This window comes from Homo sapiens, chromosome 9 (assembly GCF_000001405.40).
Source record: "Homo sapiens chromosome 9, GRCh38.p14 Primary Assembly".
In the NCBI taxonomy this organism is placed as follows: Eukaryota; Metazoa; Chordata; class Mammalia; order Primates; family Hominidae; genus Homo; species Homo sapiens.
This window is the reverse complement of record NC_000009.12, coordinates 746,286-769,746: the sequence shown is the minus strand read 5'-3', so window position 1 is coordinate 769,746 and position 23,461 is coordinate 746,286. Positions and strand designations below refer to the sequence as shown.

General features: G+C 45.6%; 1 long non-coding RNA gene across 1 annotated transcript, besides 1 other annotated feature; it reads left to right on the top strand.

Annotated features, from left to right (window-relative positions):
* Positions 8,024–8,318: a silencer, noted in NCBI's record as "tiled region #15053; HepG2 Repressive DNase unmatched - State 8:EnhW". NCBI's record gives its function as "represses a minimal TATA promoter and a strong SV40 promoter by Sharpr-MPRA in HepG2 cells {active_cell/tissue: HepG2}" and the evidence as "EXISTENCE:reporter gene assay evidence [ECO:0000049][PMID:27701403]".
* On the top strand, positions 8,366–22,498 carry LOC124902109 (uncharacterized). Its single transcript, XR_007061394.1, has 4 exons — positions 8,366–8,448; positions 19,162–19,396; positions 20,251–20,411; positions 22,278–22,498. It is a non-coding gene; the product is annotated as an uncharacterized LOC124902109 (long non-coding RNA).

The window sequence follows — 23,461 nt, the reverse complement described above, 5'->3', positions numbered from 1 at the left end:
CTCATAACACTGCTTTAGCTGTGTCCCAGAGATTCTGGCACGTTGTGTCTTTGTTTTCATTGATTTCAAAGAACTTATTTATTTCTGCCTTAATTTTGTTATTTGCCCAGTAGTCATTCAGGAGCAAGTTGTTCAATGTCCATGTAGTTGTGTGGTTTTTAGTGAGTTTCTTAATCCTGAGTTCTAATTTGATTGCACCGTGGACTGAGAGACTGTTTGTTATGATTTCCGTTCTTTTGCATTTGCTGAGGAGTGTCTTACTTCCAGTTATGTGGTCAATTTTAGAAAAAGTGAGATGTGGTACTGAGAAGAATGTATATCCTGTTGATTTGGGGTGGAGAGTTCTGTAGGATTCTATTAGGTCTACTTGTTCCAGAGCTGAGTTCAATTCCTGAATATCCTTGTTAATTTTCTGTCTCGTTGATCTAATATTGACAGTGGGGTATTAAAGTCTCCCACTATTATTGTGTGGGAGTCTAAGTCTCTTTGTAGGTCTCTAAGAACTTGCTTTATGAATCTGGATGCTCCTGTATTGGGTGCATATGTATTTAGGATAGTTAGCTCTTCTTGCATTGATCCCTTTACCATTATGTAGTGCCCTTCTTTGTCTTTTTTGAGCTTTGTTGGTTTAAAGTCTGTCTTGTCAGAGACTAGGATTGCAACCTCTGCTTTTTTTTTTGGTTTTCATTTGCTTGGTAAATATTCCTCCATCCCTTTATTTTGAGCCTATGTGCGTCTTTGCACGTGTGATGTGTCTCCTGAATACAGCACACCGATGGGTCTTAGCTCCTGAATACAGCACACCGATGGGTCACTTTATCCAATTTGCCAGTCTGTGTCTTTTAACTGGGGCATTTAGGCCATCTACATTTAAGGTTAATATTGTTATATGTGAATTTGATCCTGTCATCATGATGCTAGCTGGTTATTCTGCACATTAATTGATGCAATTTCTTCATAGTGTCATTGGTCTTTACATTTTGATGTGTTTTTGCAGTGGATGGTACCAGTTTTTCTCTTCCATATTTAGTGCTTCCTTCAGGAGCTCTTGTAAGGCAGGCCTGGTAGTGACAAAATCTCTCAGCATTTGCTTGTATATAAAGGATTTTAATTCTCCTTTGCTTATGAAGCTTAGTTTGGCTGGATATGAAATTCTGGGTTGAAAATTCTTTAAGAATGTTGAATATTGGCCCCCACTCTCTTCTGACTTATAGGGTTTCTGTAGAGAGATCTGCTGTTAGACTGATGGGCTTCCCTTTGTGGGTAACCCGACCTTTCTCTCTGGCTGCCCTTAACATTTTTTCCTTCGTTTCAACCTTGAAGAATCTGAGAATTATGTGTCTTGGGGTTGCTCTTCTTGAGTATCTTAGTAGTGTTCTCTGTATTTCCTGAATTTGAATGTTGGCCTGTTTTACTAGGTTGTGGAAGTTCTCTTGGATAATATCCTGAAATGTGTTTTCCAACTTGATTCCTTTCTCCCTTTCACTTTCGGGTACACCAATCAGTTGTAGGTCTTTTCACATAGTCCCATATTTCTTGGAGGCTTTGTTCGTTCCTTTTCATTCTTTCTTCTCTAATCTTGTCTTCATAACTTATTTCGGTAAGTTGATCTTCAATCTCTGATCCTTTTTTCCACTTGATTGATTTGGCTATTGATACTTGTGTACACTTCACGAAGTTCTTGTGCTATGTTTCTCAGCTCCATCAGGTCATTTATGTTCTTTTCTAAACTGGTTATTCTGGTTAGCAGTCTCTGTAACATTTTATCAAGGTTCTTAGCTTTTTTGCTTTTGGTTAGAACATGCTCCTTTAGCTCAGAGGAGTTGATTACCCACCTTCTGTAGCCTACTTCTGTTAATTTGTCAAACTCACTCTCCATCCAGTTTTGTGCCCTTGTTGGAGAGGAGTTGCAATCATTTGGAGAAGAGGCATTCTGGTTTTTGGAAGTTTCAGCATTTTTGCGCTGCTTTTTCCTCATCTTTGTGGATTTATCTACCCTCAATCTTTGAGGCTGGTGACCTTTGGATGGGGTTTTTGTGTGGGGATCCTTTTTGTTGATGTTGATGTTACTGCTTTTTGTCAGTTTCTCTTCTAACAGGACTGTCTTCTGCAGGTCTGCTGCACCTTGCTGGAGGTCCACTCCAGGCCCTGTTTGCGTGGGTATCACCAGCGGAGGCTGCAGAACAGAAAGATTGCTGCCTGGCCCTTCCTCTGGAAGCTTCATCCCAGAGGGGCACTAGCCTGATGCCAACCAGAGCTCTCCTGTATGAGGTGTCTGTCGACCCCTGTTGGGTGGTCTCTCCCAGTCAGGAGGCACCGAGGTCAGGGACCCACTTGAGGCAGTCTGTTCCTTAGCAGAGCTCGAGCGCTGTGCTGGGAGATCTGCTGCTCTCTTCAGAGCCGGCAGGCAGGAACGTTTAAGTCTGCTGAAGCTGCGCCCACAGCTGCCCCTTCCCCCAGGTGCTCTGTCCCAGGTAGATGGGAGTTTTATCTGTAAGACCCTGACTGGGTTGCTCCCTTTCTTTCAGAGATGCCCTGCCCAGTGAGGAGGACTCTAGAGAGGCAGTCTGGCCACAGCCGCTTTGCAGTCCTGTGGTGAGTTCCGCCCAGTCCAAACTTCCTGGCATCCTTAGCACTGTCAGGGGAAAGCCACCTACCCAAGCCTCAGTAATGATGGACATCCCTCCCCCAACCAAACTCGAACGTCCCAGGTGGACTTCAGACTGCTGTGCTGGCCGCAAGAATTTTAAGCCAGTGGTTTTTAGCTTGCTGGGTTCCATGGGAGTGGGACCTGTTGAGTGAGACCACTTGGCTCCCTGGCTTCAGCCCCCTTTCCAGGGGAGTGAACAGTTCTGTCTCGCTGGGGTTCCGGGCACTGCCAGGGTACAAAAAAAAAACCTGCAGCTAGGTTGGTGTCTGCCCAAACAGCCACCTAGTTTTGAGCTTGAAACCCAGGGCCCTGGTGGTGTAGGCACATGAGAGGATCTCATTTGCAGATTGCAAAAACCATGGGAAAAGCATAGTACCTGGGCCAGAGAGCACAGTCCCTTACAACTTTCCTTGGCTTGGGGAGGGAGGCCCCTGGGTCCTTGCGCTTCCAGGGTAAGGCAACGCCTCACCCTGCTTCTGCTTGCCTTCTGTGGGCTGTACCCACTGTCTAACCAGTCCTAATGAGATGGCCAGGGTACCTCAGTTGGCAATGCAGAAATCATCCGCCTTCTGCATTTGTCTTGCTGGGATCTGCAGACCAGAGCTGTTCCTATTTGGCCATCTTGCCGGAGCCACCCCCAGTCCTCAGTTTTTCTAGGAACTCAAATTGGAAATCAAAAACTAGATCTATCTTTTTTTTTTTCTATTTACATTCCTCCTATAATAGTCTCAAACCTCCCTGAGGCATAAGAATCACCTTAGGCTTACTAGGGGAAAAGTCATTTACAAAATATAAAAGAGAAAAATACATCTAAAATATATTATCCTTATTACATTCTTTCAGACTTTCCATAATGTCCTTTACTTTATCGCCTGTCACCCAAACTCCCTGTGAAGCCCTGCTCAAATTGCCAACTGGGGTAATGACAGTAACGATTGTTTATTAGCTACTTAGTATCAGACAAATGTGCTTTTAAACTTTACCATAAACTTGTAGATGTTCATATCCGCATTGAACAGATGAGAAGCTGGATCTTAGGAAAGGAGACTTGTGCAAAGTAGCAGAGCTAATTTCGGGGAGAAAAATAGTTTAGAAAAAACTCATTTGTGTCTTGTTTGTTTTTTCTCACTTTGGCTCAGAAGTCATTCATTCATTCAAATGCTGCAACTTTAAAACACAGCTAGAAAAACTTCCATTAAATAATATGGATGCTTACACACTGCTCAGTAAACAGCAACAAATATTACTTATTAATATTTATGATGACCAGGAAGATAAATGTCTTAGTGTGCAGAGAACAGAGTCCATCATGGCCAAAATCTTAGTACAGTTTGATATTTCAACAGCTGGGCAGGAAAGAAAGTAAAGTGCTTTGGGAAGACAATAGATCCTGGGTGAGATGGAAACGGGATTGGGTTTCCCCTTTTCTTTTGGATGGGAATTCGGAACACCTGGGATCTTGTTCAGGTTTGGCTAATACTGTGGAGAGACCATTTAAGGACCTTGTAGTTTAGTTTCCTTACCCATAAAATGACAGGTCAGGATGTTGGCAGCGAATCTGTATGGGTCTGCAGCAACTTCAGTGCTTGCCACCTCAGAAGAAAGAATTTGAGGGGCATAAGGCAGAGGGAGAGACTGAGGCAAGGTTTAGAGCATGTCGACGAAAAGAGTCAAACTCTGTAAAGTATTTGAAGACATTTATTCTGAGCCAAATATGAGTGACACAGCCCCCAGGAGGTCCTGAAAACATGTGCCCAAAGTGGACAGGGTGCAGCTTGGTTTTATACATTTCAGGGAGGCAAGAGACATCAATCAAATACATTTGAGCACTACATTGGTTTAGTCCAGAAAGGTGGGGGCAAGTCAAAGGGTTGAGAGGGTGGGGCGCGGGTTTCCAGGCTATAGGTGAGTTTAAGTATTTTGACAATTGGTTGAGTTTGTCTGAAGACCTGGGATTCATAGAAAAGGAATGTTCAGGTTAAGATAAAGATTGTGGAGACCTAAGTTGTTTTGAAGTCTCATAGTGCTGCCCTTAGAGACAACAGATGACAAATGTTTCTTATTTAGATCTTAGTTAATCTCTTTAGGATTGGGAGGGTCTGGAAGAAAAGGATCTAGCTGTGTTAATAGATTCTTTACAGATGCAAATTTTCCCCTATACAGAACAGCTTTGCAGGGCCATTACAAAATATGACGAACATGTTTTGGGGTAAAATATTTTGATTTTCTCCCTTGTCTCATGTTATGCCAGAGTCAGTTTGGAAAGTAAGTCACAATATATAGGGCTAATTAAAACCCATCTGATGAGAATTTGTGATTTGTAGGGCGTGATGCCCCAGACCCCTTAGATAGGAGTTTGGGCAAGATAAAAAAACATAATTTAGTCCTCGTGGGGTTTCACCCTGTTGCCCAGGCTGGTCTTGAACTCCTGACCTCAAGTGATCTGCTTGCATCAGCCTCCCAAAGTGCTGAGATTATAGGCCTGAGCCACTGCACCCAGCCTGATCTATGCTTTGCAGGCACTTTATCTGTGATATTTCATTTAATGTTTATAACATCATACCCATTTGGCTTTCTAGAAGCTCAGTGGTTACAAGTCTAGAGACAGGCATTTTTACCATCCATATTCTATAGATGTAGAAACTAGGGCTTAAAAAGGTAAAGTCCCTTGCTCAAAGTCTCGGCTGGTAAACGGGAAGCTAGGAGTCTAAGTTAGGTCTGTCTGGTTCCAGAGCTGCTGCTTTCTGGAACCCTGCAACATGGTGGCGCTTGTTCTCCATTGCAGAGCATTGGGGTTGGTCGTAAGGTGATGGTGATGGCGGTGGCCGTATGGTGGAAGGAACTTCATCCTTCGCAGACCAAGGGATATCGAGGAGAGTGCAATATGCAGATTCAGACACTAGGTGACAGAGTGCCACAGGGCAGACAACTCGCTACGCCTGGGTCTGCGGGGTGTGGTTCTCTCCTGCGTCCTGTATTCTTTTAAATTAAGAAAAGGCTACGCGCTCCTGTAAACCCTGTGGTCTTTTACACTAGGGCCAGGATATGTGCAACTAGATATATGCCCAAACTGTACGTGTTTCTTCCTTTATTGCGAGACATGAAGGAATTAAAGAACGAAAGAGGAAAGGAAAAGAGCAGTGGACTCAATACTGTAAAAGGCAAAGATTCCCTTTAAATTGCTTTTTAGAAAGTTTTTTTCAAAAAGATTTTTAAAGTTTTTTAAAAAGGATTTTAATAAATTATAATGTTTTATTTGGAAACATTTAATATTAAATTTCATTTAATTTCCACTTAGTTTTTAAAATTACTTTTATTTTACTCTGTCGCCCAGGCTGGAGTGCAGTGGTGCCCTCTCCACTTACTGCAACCTCTGCCTCCTCAGCTCACGCGATTCTCCTGCCTCAGATTCCGGAACAGCTGGGATTACAGGCGCCCACCACCATGCCCAGCTCATTTTTTTTGTATTTTCAGTAGAGAGGGAGTTTCGCCATGTTGGCCAGGCTGGTCTCGAACTCCTGATCTCGAGTGATCCGCCTGCCTTGGCCTCCCAAAGTGCTATGATTACGGGCGTGAGCCACTGTGTCCGACCTCCACCTAGTTTTTGAAAGAAGTAGTTCTCTTTCCATTTTTATTTTTTATTTTTTATTTATTTATTTTTGAGACGGGGTATCGCTCTGTCGCCCAAGCTGGAGTGCGCTGGTGCAATCTCGGCTCCCTGCAAGCTCCGCTTCCTGGGTTCACGCCATTCTCCTTCCTCAGCCTCCCGAGTAGCTGGGACTACAAGCGTGAGCCACCACGCCCGGCTAATTTTTTGTATTTTTAGTAGAGATGGGGTTTCACCGTGTTAGCCGGGATGGTCTCGATCTCCTGACCTCGTGATCCACCCGCCTCGGCCTTCCAAAGTGCTGGGATTACAGGCGTGAGCCACTGCGGCCGGCCCCAAAATAGGCTCATCTTTTGATGTTGCCCACAAGTGAATAAAGTTAAGGCAAAAGGTAGGTGTAGTGTAGTTGGCCCTGGAAGCCCGTCTTTTGGCCTTCACCTTACTTTAGGACGAAGTAGGGTCTGTCCAGTGGCCTACAAGAGGAAGTAATTCTGCTTTTTCCAAAGTTGCCTGGAGCATATTTTCAAAAATGAAGACTCTCACTTTAACTATATGAAGTCTGGTGCACACTATTTTGCATGCTGTGATTACTGGTTATTTAAGCTTCATCAATGAAAAGAAACAGCAGAGCAAGAGTCAAGCTTTAGTCTAATAAGAAATGAGAAACAGAAGCTGTCAGCCACCGAATGGGAACGAAGGGGTAGTGAGGCAAGGACATGCCACCTTCCTACTCTACAACTCAGAACCTCACAAGGGAGGCTGTTTTGCCTCTCTAGTTCCATGTTAAGCTGGTTTTAATCTCCATCTTGATTGCCTTCCTTCCAAATGGATGGATGTATTCAGAGAGATTGTCCTGATCCATCCTGATTGTCTGCCAATGTATCTGCTGATGTGGGTAGGGCCACCTGGCATACACTTGCAGGGCCATGCTCTTGTGAATCAGACAGTCACATTGCATGGCAAAGGAGACCTGCATTTGATGTTCAAAAATGAGAGAGCCCAAGGAGCCTCAGCTCTTGGTTGCAACACTGGGGACAAACTATGAATAATAAAGTGAGTGACACAAGGGCTTAAGGTCAGGAACTCCTGTGGCATTTTGGTTTAGCTCAGTTGGAGGTGTGGGAGGAGTGTGATGGAGCTGAACCCAGATTACGGAGGAAGCTTCATCATGCCAGACCGAGCTGAAGCCATTGAGTGGCTTTCAACAGGGAATAACATGACTGTACTGAAAGCGGCAGGGCTGACATTGGGGAGACCAGTTCTGATGACCTTGCAGCAGTCCAGAAGAAATGATGGTGCCCTGAACTGTGTTAGCAGCAGTGGAAGAGGGTGGACCCAAGAGCTGTGGGGAGGAAGAACCTGTAGACTTGACGACCACCTAGCTAACATATTCATGGCAATGAGTCTTGGAAGTTCTACAGCGCACCTGGAGGGATGGTGGGATCAGCGAGGCCAACACTGAGAGAAACGCAGGCGTGGATGCCCTGGCACAACCTCGCAGCAGATCCTAATTCCTGGGAGGACCCCTTTCCTTCCCACATTTGACAAAGACAGTCTACGCAGATTCCCTAGAAAAACCTCCTCGCTGCCCACAGGTTGCTTTTTTTTTTTGTTCCCCATCAGAGCAGCCTGCTGGAACTCAGCAAGGCAGTGGACAATCCAATGGTCGTACCAGCGATTGTCCATACCTGTGGGATAACTAGGAAGACAGTTATTTTTGTGTGAGTGCCTGTGTGCTCTGGGGAGAGATGCCAGTGAGTGAAACTGGAATGAACAACCTGACCTCGAGGAAAAAAATGACCTTATCGTTAACAAAATAGTGAATGCTTCCACAGTGCCTGTTTGTACAGAGTGCTTCACAAGCATGAGCTCATGTGATTTCCTCATCACTTGCTTTTCCAGCTGTAACAGGTTTGGAGAAGGCAGCTGTGGATTCTCTTTAGCTTTTGTTTGAGAGGTTTCTCTCTTCCTGGTCAAGAAGCCACATGACCCGAATGTAACTAGGACGGTGTTGTTGAGCACTTGCTTGTGGACCCCTCTGGGGTCTGCAGATGACTGGCAGGATGCTGGAGCCTGCAGGTTTTGCTAGTTTCCTACTTGCATGGATCCTTTCTTGCCCCAGCTCTGGATAGGTTCCCAGGCTTCATTAGAATTCATGGACGGTTATCTGCAAAGACTTCTGGACAAGAAGGTATAATGGTTCTTTTATGTGTCAATTTGACTGTCAAGGGATGCCCAGAAAGCTGGCACACCTCTGCGTGGGTGTCTCTGAAAGGGATGAGCATTTGAATTGGTGACCGAGTAAAGAAGGCTTTCCTCACCACTGCGGGTGGGTACCATTCAGTCTACGGAGGGCTTGAATAGGACAACAACGTGTAGGAAGATAGAGTTCCCGTTCTGCTTGAGCTGGGACCTCCATCCTCTCCTGCCCTCAGACACTGGCTTCCCTGGTTCTTAGGCCTTTGGGTCTGGGCTGGAGCCACACCCCTGGCTTTCCTGGGCCTCCACCTCACAGATGGCAGACCACAGGACTTCCTGGCCTCAGTAATTGCATATGCCAGTCCCTTGTAGTCGATCACTTTCTATACATCTATATATATCCTATTGGTTCTGCTCCTCTGGAGAGCCCTAATACAATGGAGTATCACAGGAGTGTGTCCCCCAAACCCTATGCTGTGTAGCACCCTGATTCCTGTGGCACCTTTCTTCTGATGTAGGAGATGTTAATACTGGTGGTAAGGTTGAAAATAATTTTTTAAAATGGCTAGACACACAAAGTAGCAGTGTATTTAAACCTTGTCTGCTATTTTAGTAGCATGAGGCATTCCTGAATAAAAAGGAAATAGCAGAAGCAAGCAGGCTGGTCGCTTGGGAAGGGCACCTTGAGGGGCCCTTATCAGAGCTACAGCCCGAGGTACTGTGGCAGGTAAATAAGTTCTGTTCTTGTTGACCGATCAATGGAAGTGTTTAGACTTGCCGGCGAAAACCACAACCTAGAGAACACAGATGGCCCCACTGCAAGGACAAGGAGTCTCTTGGAGCTCAGACTTCCGAATAATACATTTTCTCCACAGCGCCTGGAAACTGTGTTCTTGTTGATTTTCTGGGAGACAGCAAAGCCTCCCTCCTCCTTCCCCTCATCCTCAGGGTGGGAGTGACAGCCTCATCACTTGCATTTTCAAGTAAATCTGGCTTGCAGAAAGCAGCTGTGGATTCTCTTTGGCTTTCTTTCTAGAAGTTTCTGTCTTCCTAGTCAGTGAGTCACATGACTTAAATGTAACAAGGGCATGGTTCTCAGGTGCCTGATGCTTCTGGGCTTTGTAGAGTACTGGCCAAACCCGCCATGGTGGCCATGGTAGGCTGGGGCGTGGGACTCAGGCACGCAGAACACTGCACAGTTGGGTCTTCAAGAGCAAGGGCATCTCCAGAATCAGACTTCTGTGTCCTTAAGCAGGGTCTAGAATGTGTCAGGGAACCAGTTCTGGGCCTGAAGAATTGTTTTTTGTCCTGTTGTTCCTAGATTGTCATAGTCAGAGGAAGAGACTGTCTCACAAGCCCCATGCAGAATTTTGGGACCGTCGATGTTTGTGTAAAGGCAGGTATAACTTGCAGTCTTGCCTTTGGAATACATTTGTCTTCCTAAGTTAATCTGTTACAGGACACCGTATTTGATTTCTTGTCTGGAATTTGAGTCTCTTACCACTAGAAATACGGTGTTGTTTTGGTGAAGAATGCTTTTCTCTCTGCAAGAGTGGCAGTGTGGCGAAGTGATTCAGTGCAGGGACTTGGTGCAGGTCTGCCTGGCTTTCTCACTAATAGCTGTGTGATCTCGGACAAGTTACTTAACCTCTCGATGTTTATGTTGCTTCATCTATAAAAAGGGGATAGTAATGGTGTTCAACTACTTTATAGGTTTCTGGAAAGGAGAAAATAAGGGAACGTGAGCAAACCACTCAGAACAGCGCCTGCTGTGTGGTTAAGTGCTAAGGGTTTGTTATTTTTCACGACTTGGAATTGGAACAGAATATGAAATAAAGGGTGTCAAGGCAAAGCAGGCTTGTCAGTAGCTTGGAGTAGTGGCAAAAGTCTTGGCTTAGAAGGCAGGAGGCCTGCTCTTTCTGATCAGCCTTCCCGCTAAGTAGTGAAGCCAGTCTGAGCTTCACTTTATTTTAAAATGAGGTGGTAGCTGGGTGTGGTGGCTCATGCCTGTAATCCTAGCACTTAGGGAGGCCGAGACAGGAGGATCATTTGAGACCAACCTGGGCAACATGGTGAAACCCCATCTCTACAAAAAATTCGCCAGGCGTGGCAGTGCGCACCTGCAATGCCAGCTACCTGCGAGGCTTTAGGTGGGAGGATCACCTGAGCCCGAGAAGTCCAGGCTGCAGTGAGCCATGATTGCGCCACTGCACTCCAGCCTGGGTGACAGAGTAAGACCTTGTCTCAAATAAAATAAGATGAGGTGGTGATAACAAATGAATGCATAAACAAAAGGCAGAATATACATACAGTGCACTACTATTCAGCTATGAAAAGGAATTAAGTTCTGACATGTGCTACAACATGGATGAACCTTGAGGACATTATGCTAAGAGAAATAAATCAGACACAAAAGGACAACGGTTGCATGATTCCCCTATGTGAGCTATCTAGAATAGGCAAAGGCATAGAGACAGGAAGTGGAACTGAAGCTACCGGGGTTGAGGGAGGGGATATGGACAGTTTTGCTTAATGGTTATGGAGTTTCTTTTATGGGTGATGAAAAAGTTTTGGATCTGGATAGTGGTGCTAGTTACAAAATATTGTAAATACAATTCATGTCACTGAATTATACACTTAAAATAGTAAAGATGGCAAACTTCATATTATGTATGTTTTACTACAATAAAAAATTCGAACATAATTAAAAAGAAGAGTGAAGTAGGCTGATGTTGAAAGAAAAAGTTACTTGCTATAAACGTTGAAACTTTTCTAGACCATGAGGCTACCAGACAAAAAAGTGACTAGCCTGGGCAACATAGTGAGATCCTGCCTCAACATTAGCCTAGTGTGGTAGAGTGCGCCTGTGGTCCCAGCCACTTGGGAAGGCTTAAGTGGGAGGATCGCTTGAGCCCAGGAGGTTGAGGCTGCAGTGAGCCGTGATTGCACAACTGCACTCCAGCCTGCGTGATAGTGAGTCCCTGTCTTAAGGAGAAACCAAAAAACCCCAAACACATCTTATTTTGTGACTGAGATGATACACAAACACACACACACACACACACACACAAAGCTTCATGAAATGATGTTACCATCAATATATCTGATACAATCAAGATTTCAGATTTATTCAACTTTTAAAAATGCTTGTAGTTACATTAATTTTGTAACCCATTATGTCCTGTTTTAAAAACATTGTTGGCCAGGCACGGTGGCTCATGCCTGTAATCTCAGCACTTTGGAAGGCTGAGGCAGGTGGATCACCTGAGGTCAGGAGTTCGAGACCTGCCTGGCCAACATGGTGTGAAACCCGGTCTCTACTAAAAATAGAAAATTAGCCAATGTGGTAGTGCCTGCCTGTGATCCCAGCTACTTGGGAGGCAGAGGCAGGAGAATCGCTTGAACCTGGGAGGTAGAGGTTGCAATGAGCTGAAATCGTTCCACTGCACTCCACCCTGGGTGACAGAGGGAGACTCTGTCTCAAAATAAATAAATAAATAAAATTAAACGTTGTTGGGAGACTGGCTCATGCTTGGATATGTCTCCCACTGGCCACTAGGGAGAGCTGATAGGTCAGGCTGAGGAGTGAAGGGAACTGGTGGGGTTGCAGGTAGTAGTAGCCTCTGTGCTGGCTGGGACCCTTCTCAGCTAACCTCTCGCACTCCTTACCAAGGCCTTTCACAGGGGGCGGGCGGTGCCCATTTGGAGTTGAGTTGAACGAGTGTCTGTTTATTTGAAGAAACCTTCCCTGCCTCATTCCCGCCTGGGGGAGCCCATTTAAATGTGTGCTAGTTGTTGGATTTTTGGCTCAGCACTTTGGACCCTCTTCCTCCTGGAGAAGCACAGAACATGTCTCTTTCCTGTTGGCATAACGGCCCCCTTCAGATGTGTTACTGACAGCCTTAAGACTTGCCATGAACGGGCACGATGGCTCACGCCTGTAATCCTAGCACTTTGGGAGGCCGAGGCAGGCAGATCACGAGGTCAGGAGTTGGAGACCAGTCTGGCCAACATAGTGAGACCCTGTCTCTACTAAAAATACAAAAAATTAGCCAGGTGTGGTGGTGTGCGCCTGTAATCCCAACTACTTGGGAGGCTGAGGCAGGAGAATTGCTTGAACTCGGGAGGCGTAGCGTGCAGTGAGCCAAGATCGCACCACTGCACTCCAGCCTGGTGATGGAGTGAGACTCCCTCTCAAAAAAAAAGAAAAAGATTTGCCACGAACAACCTGCAAAATTCACCTCACTGGACAGGTTCTGAACCCTACTGTGTGTCAGGCGCCCTCCTCTCAACCTCAGCAAATGAGGCTGGTTCTGCCTGCCATTTTGGTTGTCAGGAAAATGGCATCCCTAGAAGGGAGTTGAAGCTCAGCAGGGAAGCAGCACAGAGAAGCAGCCATGCATGGGGTTGGAAGTCAGCTCCAATGGGGACTGCCTTGCCTGCCCTGGGCTCTCTCTGAAGCAGGTGTGACAAGTCACCTATGTTGGCCGGGTGCGGTGGCTCATGCCTGTAATCCCAGCACTTTGGGAGGCTGAGGCGGGTGGATCACCTGAGGTCAGGAGTTTGAAACCAGCCTGGCCAACATGGCAAAAATCCCTCTCTACTAAAAATACAAAAAAAAAATTAGCTGGGAGTGGTGGTGGGTGCCTGTAATCCCAGCTACTTGGAAGGCTGAGGCAAGAGAATCGCTTAAACCTGGGAGTCGGAGGTTGCAGGGAGTGGAGATCTCGCCACTGCACTCCAGTCTTCTGGGCGACAGAGTGGGACTCCTTCTCCAAAAAAAAAAAAAAAAAAAAAAAAAAAAAAAAAAAAAAAAAAAAGTCACCTATCTTAGCTCCAGGATCTCTTCTGTTTTTGCAGGGAGAAGCCAGAGGTTGTCAGGCATTTCAGCCTCCCTCCATGAGCAGAAGGAGGATCAGACCACTGGCTCATTAACCCCATCATGTTCAGTGCTTCCAAAAGTGTTGAACATGATTTTCATCTTTGTTCCCCCATTAGCTCCACCTGCTCTCCTATAAGGCTGTTGTTCATGTTTGACCAAAGTGATGACCACAGCATGTTCCACCTTCAGAGCAGGCAGAAGAGCTGAAACGTCCTTGCGCAATGAGGATTCCCTTAACTTCATTAGCAAGTGGTAACCTCTCCTCTCAGTCAGTTCCTCCACTTCCTCCTCCTGGGGTTAGTATGGCACAACCAATGTCCAACTCCTATGTGACAAGTTAGTCTGGGATCAGCTGTCAAAGTTAAGGAAGAGATGCCTTCAGGTCACTGCCCAGAGACAGAGCTAGACTTGCTTGATAAGACTGCCTCAGAGTAGTTCTTCCACAGGAATTCAGAAATGACTATGCAGCCTTTTCCTGTTGGCCACAGGAAATAGCCATGGCTTGTGGTGAAATAACGCTCACCAGCTAAGGGTTTAAGGGGACTCTACTATGACTCATGCCTGTCCTTGCTTTGATCCTCAGTTGGAAGCCAAAGGCTGTGGAGGTCAGATTTCCCTAGTGCTTTATGGTACAGTCTCCTCAGTGGGAACAGGCTGGAGATGGAATTCTTCCCTTACTGGTGCTTCACCCCGGTACTCGTCAAAAATACCGCTTGAAACTAGCTCCCAAGGCTGTGTGTGATGGTCACGCCTGTAATCTCAGCGCTTTGGGAGGCCGAGGCGGGTGGATCACTTCAGGCCAGGAGTTCGAGACCAGCCTGGCCAACATGTTGAAACCCCGTCTCTACTAAAAATACAAAAATGAGCCAGGTATGGTGGCACATGTCTGTAATCCCAGCTACTCAGGAGGCTGAAGCAGGAGAATCACTTGAACCCAGGAGGCAGAGGTTGGAGTGAGCTGAGATCGTATCACTGCACTCCAGCCTGGTGACAGAGTGAGACTCCGCTTTAAAAAACAACCCCCAAAAAACTAGCTCTCAAGACTTTTATGATAGCTCTCTTCTCTTACAGCTGTTTTTGGGTTACGACCCCCATATTTTCCAACAAGCTACCATTTTCTACCTTCCGCTTTTACATTCACAGTCACTGGACACTTAGCAGATGACGGCTCTGGTTGGTGGCTTCTTGATGGCAGCACTCAAGGTAGTGATAATGGTGTGGCTGAGAACTTACAAAAGGGCTCCACCACAGAAAAGGCTCTGCAGACATCAATCTCAAGGGTGGACCAGAGTTCCTAGCTCCACCCTTCCCCACAGGTATTTAAGTAGGTTATTAGAAGTATGCCTCCTGAGCAATTCCAAAATCCGGGCCGGAGCTATTATTGGGAGAGGATCCCACTCTGATGGGTTTATTGCATTTTATGGCTCCAAATCCTTTCTTTCTTTCTATAGCCAAACATTCCGGCATGTGGCTTTGCAGTTCCTTTCACTGAAGGATTTGTTTCCCAATCTCTTTGAATCTGGACTGGTCTTATGATTTGCTTGGGCCAATGGAGTGCCATGAAATTAATGGAGTACGAGTTCTGAGCCTGAGCCTCCAGGATCCCTGTCCACCTGTATTCTTGCATTTCTGTTATGGCCATGAGAACGCACTTTAGCTACCCAGCCTAGGTCAGCTGACAGCTGTGAGACTGGCCAAGGTCAGCACAGCCACTTCGCTGGGCACCCAGAGGTGTGAGCAATGCATGCTTACTATGGTAGGCTACTGAGGCTTTGAGGACTGTTACCTAACAATATCGTGACCATAAATAACTGAAATGTCCCACTTAGAATGATGCATTTCTTGAAGAGTTAACAGAAGCAACTTTCACCTTCAAATAAAATAGTTCCCTGTAGATTGCTTCTTTCCTTGCATTGCCCCAAACTGAATATCTTTCACTGGTCTTCAGCGCTATAGATGTATTTCATATCTTGGTAAAAACTGGACAATGAGCACAAGTGAAAAGTCATTCTTTATTAGGCATCAAATGAACAGGAGGGGGAAGCAAAGGGAAGAGTGACTGCCTACGTTTCTGTAGACTCTGGCTGACAGCCTGTCTACCCGGATGGGTGGATTGCTAATAGCAGTTAATGTTCATCATGTTGGCACCTGGGTGAAACTCCTTTCCATGCAGAGGTAAATGTAGGTACCGATCATTGAAAGGTAATCTTTAATTAATTGATTGTTTTTGAGACAGAGTCTCACTCTTATCGCCCAGCCTGGAAGTGCAGTGGTGTGATCTCAGCTCACCGCAACCTCTGCCTCCTGGGTTCAAGGGATTCTTCTGCCTCAGCCTCCCAAGTAGCTGAGTAGCTGGGATTACAGGTGCAAGCCACCACGACCGCCTAATTTTTGTATTTTTGGTAGAGACAGGGTTTCACCACGCTGGCCAGGCTGGTCTCCAACTCCTGACCTCAGGTGATCCACCCGCCTCGGCCTCCCAAAGTGCTGGGGTTATAGGTGTGAGCCACCGTACCCGGCCGAGAGGTAATCTTCAGAAGACTTACTGGTGGGTGATGACAGTGTTTGGGCCCCCAATTTTAAAAAGGATTAGAAGCAGTGACAAGAATTTGGCAAAACAAATTTCTGAACCCAAGACTGTTGTGCACTGGCAAGTGTAGGATGTTTGTCCTCAGCTGGAGTCCCTAAACTCCGACACACACAGGTAAGTAAAATGACTGTGCTCTACTTTTTTAAATATGTGCCAGGCACAGTGACTCATGCCTGTAATCTTAGCACTTTGGGACGCTCAGGTGGGCAGATCACCTGACATCAGGAGTTTGAGACCAGCCTGGCCAACATAATGAAACCCCGGCTCTCCTAAAAATATAAAAATTAGCCAGGCGTGGTGGTGTGTGCCTGTAATCCGAGCTGCTTGGGAGGCTGAGGCACGAGAATCGCTTGAACCCAGGAGGTGGAGGTTGCAGTGAGCCAAGATCTCATCACTGCACTCCAGCTTGGGCAACAGAGTGAGACTCCGCCTCAAAAAAAAAAAAATGTTCTACAGACCAATATCTATAGCAAGGTTTATAAGACAGACACCAAGCTTCTGGCTCTTTGGTTATGTAGTGGTCATATATCTCTGATGATGACTGAATGAAGCATATGGGGAACTTCATTAACGTTCCTTTGGTCATTCAAGGCCTTCCATTAATCAATCTCAGCAAGTGTACTTTCTGAGTGTCTTGTCTCTTGGAGGTGAATTTACAGATGAGAGAAGATATAAACAAGTTGCCTCCTTTCCCAGTGAAACACTGATGTCTTCTCCCTCTTCTAACTCATCTCAACTTGGTCTCTGAACTTAGCGCTGTGGACATACCATATGTGTCCTTAGGCAAGAGGATCTTCAATTGGTTCCTGGGTTCATTGGACCCCTGTGGCTTTCCAACACAGATGACTCAGTCTCTTGCATCTCAGTGTGAACACCTAGGATGACCGTTTTTCTGCTCTGGAAAGGAAAAACACTGTGCACTTCTGCCTGATGGCAGAATCAGAACCCAGGATGGAATGCAGAGGCAGCAGCTGAGAGGGCAGCAGTGCAGCACACTCTCCTCCATGCCACCTGGGTTTCCAGAGGAGACCATGATTTTTTTTATTATTTTTTGAGACAAAGTTTTGCTCTTGTTGTCCAGGCTGGAGTGCAACGGCACTATCTCGGCTCATTGTAACCTCCGCCTCCCGGGTTCAAGCGATTCTCCTGCCTCAGCCTCCTGAGTAGCTGGGATTACAGGTGCCCACCACCATGCCCAGCTAATTTTTGTATTTTTATTAGAGACAGGATTTCACTATGTCGGCCAGGCTAGTCTCGAACTCCTGACCTCAGGCGATCCACCCACCTCAGCCTCCCAAAGTACTGGGATTACAGGCATGAGCCACCGCACCCGGCCAACCATGATTTTTTAAAATGTGCATTCATAAGGGAGTGAGCTGACACAGAAACTCATGGGATTAGCATAAAGAAACATTACTTTCTAAGGGAAATGTATGAGTCATTTTTTTTTTTTAAGACTGCTGTGAGTCAAGTTCTATGGCCAAATTCTGGATGAATACAGGATTTATAAACACTTGATATATTGTACAAGCTGTAGAAAGACTTCCTATTGGGCAATGGTATCTTTGCAGAATTTGTTTTTTATACTGGGAAGCAAAAGTTCCACAGGGAACAAGTTAACTCATAAGGTTTAGTCACTGGAAACTGCAAAAGACGAAAGCCTACAAAGATGAAAGAACAGACACTTTAGAGCTCCCTGATGGACAGGAATCCTCCTTATCAGAGCCCTTCCTCTAGAGCAGCATTTCTCAAAGTGGGGTTTCTGGACCAGAAGCATCAGCACCACCTGGGAACTTGTTAGAAATGCCAATTCTTGAGCCTCTTTCCAGACCTACCGAATTGGAAAGTCGAGGTTGAGGCCCAGCAGTGTGTTTTCACAAACCCTCCTGGGGATTCCGATGCACACCAAAGTTTGAGAGCTACACGTTTCTAAGAGACAATCTAGGCAGACTGTACACAGGAAATGGCTTTCCTTTCACAAAAATATGTAGTCCCTAGTGCCCTAAGGCATCCACTGTAGATAATAGGTTACATTCTCTCTCTGCAACTAGGATGGTACTGGTATGTACCATCCCTGGGGATTATTAAGAAAATAGTCATCCAAATAGTTGTCATTGTTCTATGATTAAGTCCCCAGTGACAGTTTTGTTGCTGTCCGCCAATCAACTAAGCCATTTGGTTACACAGCAGCACTTCACTTCGAGGAACCAGTTTTTGTATGGATAAAGAAAATCTAAGTTACGCTGTGACAGCAAGTCACTCCCTAGCTTCTCTGGCTTAGCATAATAAAGGACTATTTCTTGTTCCTAATACACCTGCAACACAGCTTGGCAAGGAAACTCTATTCCACGTAGTCACTCAGGGTCGACACTAATGGGATGTCTGTGTCAACACTTGCTTCCGTGATCATCACTGTGACAAGGGGAGTACAAGATACGGTAAACTGCACTGGCTTTTGAGGCTTCCATCTGGAACTGACACATAACCTTTTCTGTTTCATTGGAGAAGTCACATGGCCAAGTGTAACTTCAAAAGTGTGTGGGTAGTACATCCGATCCTGTTGTGCCCAGAAAAAGAACTGGAGTATCTGAGAACAGCCCTCGTGACTGCTATTCAAGGTTACGAGTGGGCCACAATGGCCATCATGCAAAACTATGTGGTCACATTCAAGAAATAGCAGGGCTAAGAGTTTCCAGTTTTTACCTTCTTTCACTATCTCTTTGATTATATTGACTCTCAAATCTGCACCTTCCTTCCCAAGGTTTTTTTTGATCAAACTTTTTCATTTTCTTAAACTTTAAAAAAAATTGAAGTTAATATACATACAGGAAAGCACACACGTGTGTCTACAGCCTGATGAATGGTCACAAAGTGAGCATAACAGTGCAACTACCCCCCAGGCAAGAAATTGACCATTACCAGGAGCCCACCAGCCCCATTTGGGCTCCTTCCAGCTCCCTCATGGCAACACTCCTGACTTCTAACACCATCAGTTATTTTTTTACACTCATTCATTCAACTAGTATTTCTCAGCTAGGCACCGGAACTTCTCAGTCCTGGCAGATGGTGTTACAAACCGAAGCATGAGATTTCATCCTAATAAGCTTCCTGTTGGAAGACTGGATTTTTCTGGGGGTGGGGGTGACATATTTTAGGCAGGATTGGGGGTGGGTGAGCTCTCTGAACTCTCAGGGATTTTACCTAATAAATATTTTCCTTATTACCTGTTTAAGCACATCCAGTACTTCCTAAAAGAGCAGATGGGACCATAGCAAGAATCTCTTTGCTGCCCGACACATGAGAAGCGGCCTGCCCAGCTGGCACTTGCTCTCCTACAACCAGCCTCAACAAGGCATCGAGCTGCCTGCACCAGTGACAGCAAAGCAGCACCTGCCTGTCTGCAGCTCAGGGATTTTCTCTCGCCCTCAGTCGTACAGCCTTAGCCTTCCAGGTGGTTTCTAGGGCTGGGTAACTAGTTCCTTCTGGGTTGGGGAATGGGGAACAAGTGTAAAAGTTATTTTGGCTCAAATACAAGATTGACATTTGGTTTTAGAAATAGGAATATTTGTTATGCAGCTTCCATTTTATGAAAATGAGGGATATGTTTTCCATCCTCTTACCTATTTAATCAACAAAGGTCTTAATGGAGATGCAGTGGGCAGCTGGATTCTTAAAATGCCAGCTCCTTCCCAACATCCTCTAAATCAGACATTTCTGTCTAAGCATGCACCTGCAAAAATGATATGTTGTTTTCCAGCTTCACTGCAAGATCCTTGCCAGAATTCAGGATAGGTATCTCAAGGATATCATTACAAGTTCCAAATAATGCCATCTTTCATGCTTGAAAAGCCATGACTGTCTGGTCCCTGCAGGGAGTAGCTGGTGCCTTCAGTGGGGAGGGGTTCGAGCGTGAGCAGCTCAGGAACGTTGTGGTCTACGGTTCAGCCACATCCTTTGTGGTAAGAAACTGCAACAAAATGTACTTTATATTTTTATAATCAGCTGGCTTTTAAATTACAGCCATGCTGAATAAGAGCAGAGAAAACGTATGATTAGTAATTTCCTTATGCAGAAAGTAGAACAGTTTCTGGCTAAGGCCTAGGGCTTTAAAAAAAAGGTGCTTTTAGTAAAAAAAAGAAAATGGAAAATTCTTTATTCCAAAGCCAAAGCAATGGTTCATGGCCTCCTTCTGAGCAGTAATAGTCCAACTCCACGAGGAAGTGGAAATGGAAAAGATTAGCTTGGGAAAATATTCTAAGGGCTGTCTGCCTGCCCAGCCACTGTCACCTATATACTGAGCCACCTTCTCTGGTCCTTACAAGCACAGAAAAATGGATCTGTGGCAGTCATGGTTCCTGGACTTCTAGAAATGACTATATTCCAGGAGATGCAGAAATGCTACTGAACATGGATGTGCAGCACCACAGAAAACCTATGTGGGATCCTGATCACCAGTGGAAGCCCGGCTCCTTAGAGAGCTAAGGTAAAGCCAATGTTTGTTTTGATGTAGTTCCCCCACCTTGCCTAACATGTGTGGGGAAGAACAGATGCATCATGTCTCATACTTTGGGAGCAACAGCTTCTTAGTGTGGACCAAAGGCTATGTTCAGAAACACCTGGGATGCTTGTTAAGGATGGGGATTCTCAGACCAGGCTGGAAATTTGCTTGTTTGTTTGTTTGTTTTTTGAGAACAGAGTCTTATTCTGTTGGCCAGGCTGGAGTGCCGTGGCGTGATCTTGACTCACTGCAACCTCCGCCTCCTGAGTAGCTGAGATTACAGGCGTGCACCATCACGTCCGGCTAGTTTTTTGTAGTTTTAGTAGAGGTGGGGTTTCACCATGTTGCCCAGGCTGATCTCAAATTCCTGAGCTCAGGTGATCTGCCTGCCTCGGCCTCCCAAAGTGCTGGGATTATGGGCCTGAGCCACCGTGTCCGACTGAAATTTGCATTTTCTACCTGCTCCCTCTGGAAATTCTTAAGTGTCTCGTGAAGGGAAGGCTTATACAAAATCATAAAAATGTAATTCTACTTGTAGCAAGTTCCCCCACAAAAGATCTAGCAGAATTTAAAGAAAGGTTATGTTTGGTCATTATTTCCTTTGAAGGAGAAATAGTTTTCTTATGTGATTCCATCTGCAAGGATTGTCAGATATCGGCAGTACTTCAGTAGTACAAAAATCAGGGATAATGTTGTTCTCCCAAGTATTAACTTACAAGGAAAGCGCTCAGAGCTTCATTTATTTTGGATACCAGAGCTAGATGAAGTGTTCCTAGTAAACGTCTCCAGAAGCACCCTTCCTCCCCCTTGGTGAGACATTTAGTTGTCAGTTTAGTCGTAATAGTGTCACGACAAGTTGCCAGTTTTTTTTTCCTTTGTTTGTTTGTTTTTTAAAGAGATGGGGGTCTCACTACATTGGCCAGGCTGGCCTCAAACTCCTGGATTCAAGCAATCCTCCCACCTCAGCCTTTGTCCCAGTAGCTGAGATTACAGGTGTGAACCACCACACCTGGCTTAGTTTTACTTTCTTAAGGTTAAACTCTCAAAAGTCCCACTGTTCCACTCCTGTTGTCTTGGGGTGGCTCCCAACTGTCCGTGGTTCAACTTCCAAGGCAAGGTTTCTGGGAAGCTGTCTTTTCATCACTTAAAGATTTAAACCTTCCTTTTTTTTTTTTTTTTTTTTTTCCGAGACAGGTTCTCACTCTATTACCCAGGCTGGAGTGCAGTGGCACAATCATGGCTTACTGTAGCCTCAACTTCCTGGGCCAAGGTGATTCTCCCATCTCAACCCCTAAGTAGCTGGCACTACAGTACATGCCACCACGCCCAGCTAATTTTTCTTTTGTAGAGATGAGATCTTGCTATATTGCCCAGGCTTGTCTCGAACTCCTGGACTCAAGTGATCTGCCTGACTGAGCCTCCCAAAGTGCTAAGATAATGGGTGTGAGCCACCACACCCACCTAGACTTCTCTTAAGCTGGAAAATAAGATCAGGAGTTGCCAACCCCATGCTGGTCTTACTTGGGAACCTTGCCCAAGCCTCCTGTCACAAATCCCTTTTATGGAGTTTGTGCCTCAATAAACTGCAGCTGTACCAATGGGCATAATCAGGCTTGTTTATATAGTATACCAGGATCCCAAGATAAAAGGCATTCTAAATGCCTAGTGTGATTAGAGCAAACAAGGTACCATCTAGCATTCATTACTTAGAGGTCAGATACATATCTTGTATCTGATAAAACAAGCACTCATTTTCTATTTCAAAATCTAGCATGAGAAATCAGAAGGGCAGCATGCAGACAGGGGGATTCATTTGCTCATTCATTTACATTCATGCCTTTCCTTTCTCAGATGGAACAAAGAAAATTCCCAGGCCCGGGAACCACCAGAGGTACTACCTTATTTGCTCAAAAGGTAGGTTATGCCCATAAGGGGCAGACCACGCATGGCTCTACCTCTCTCTCTCTCTCTACACACACACACACTCTCTCTCTCTCTCTCTCTCTCCTGCTTTTATTGTGCCATTTTGGATCTGTAGGAACTTGGGCTTGAAGAGCTACATGATCTGAAATTCAGCATGTATCAGCTAGTAGGTTTAGGTTATGTCCCGAGAGGGATGTGCCTCCAGGTGGCTGTGACCTCACTTTCACAGTTCATGCAGAGGAAAGTCATCCTTGTGGTCCTGGGAGAGCTGGTCTGTTGCTGCCCAGGTTTGCCTGCACTGCCAGCATGGCTCTCACAGCCCCCCAAATTGTTTTCCTCTGAAAGGTTCAAATCTTGACTCTGAAACAGACCTCATAATGAAACACCTATGGGAAAAGTCTATTCTCTGGCCTCTTTCCTGAGCTCAATAATGTTTAATTTTTAAAAGCGGGGGAGGGAGGGAGGGAAAGAAGAAGTCTCTGATATTTCTCCAGTGCACTTGGCTCTCATAGATGGCCTTGGCCAAAACTCACCACCAGCGATTGTGCCAGAACACCTGGTTTGAATTCTGGCTGCCATGCTGCTTCATTTAATGAGATGGTCCCAACTTACTTTACTATTTAAAAAGAATTTGAGGCCAGATGCAGTGGCTCATGCTTTTAATCTCAGCACTTTAGGAGGCCGAGGTGGGCTGATCATGAGGTCAGGAGATCGAGACCATTCTGGCCAACACGATGAAACCCTGTCTCTACTAAAAATACAAAAAATTAGCCGGGCGTGGTGGCGGGCGCCTGTAGTCCCAGCTACTTGGGAGGTTGAGGCAGGAGAATGGCGTGAACCCAGGAAGTGGAGCTTGCAGTGAGCCAAGATCATGCTACTGCACTCCAGCCTGGGCAACAGAGTGAGACTCCATTCTCAAAAAAAAAAAAAAAAAAAAAGTGTCCGGCTTCATCTCTCCTTTCTTGTCACTACACGTATCACCTAGTCACCCAGCAGTTGTACTCAGAGTCAAGGACTAGTGCTTCTGCACCTGAGAAGAAGCATCTCCGGCTACCCATCGGAAGAGCGCTTTGTCTAAGGAGGCCTCAAACTTCAGCCTCCCGACTTGCAAT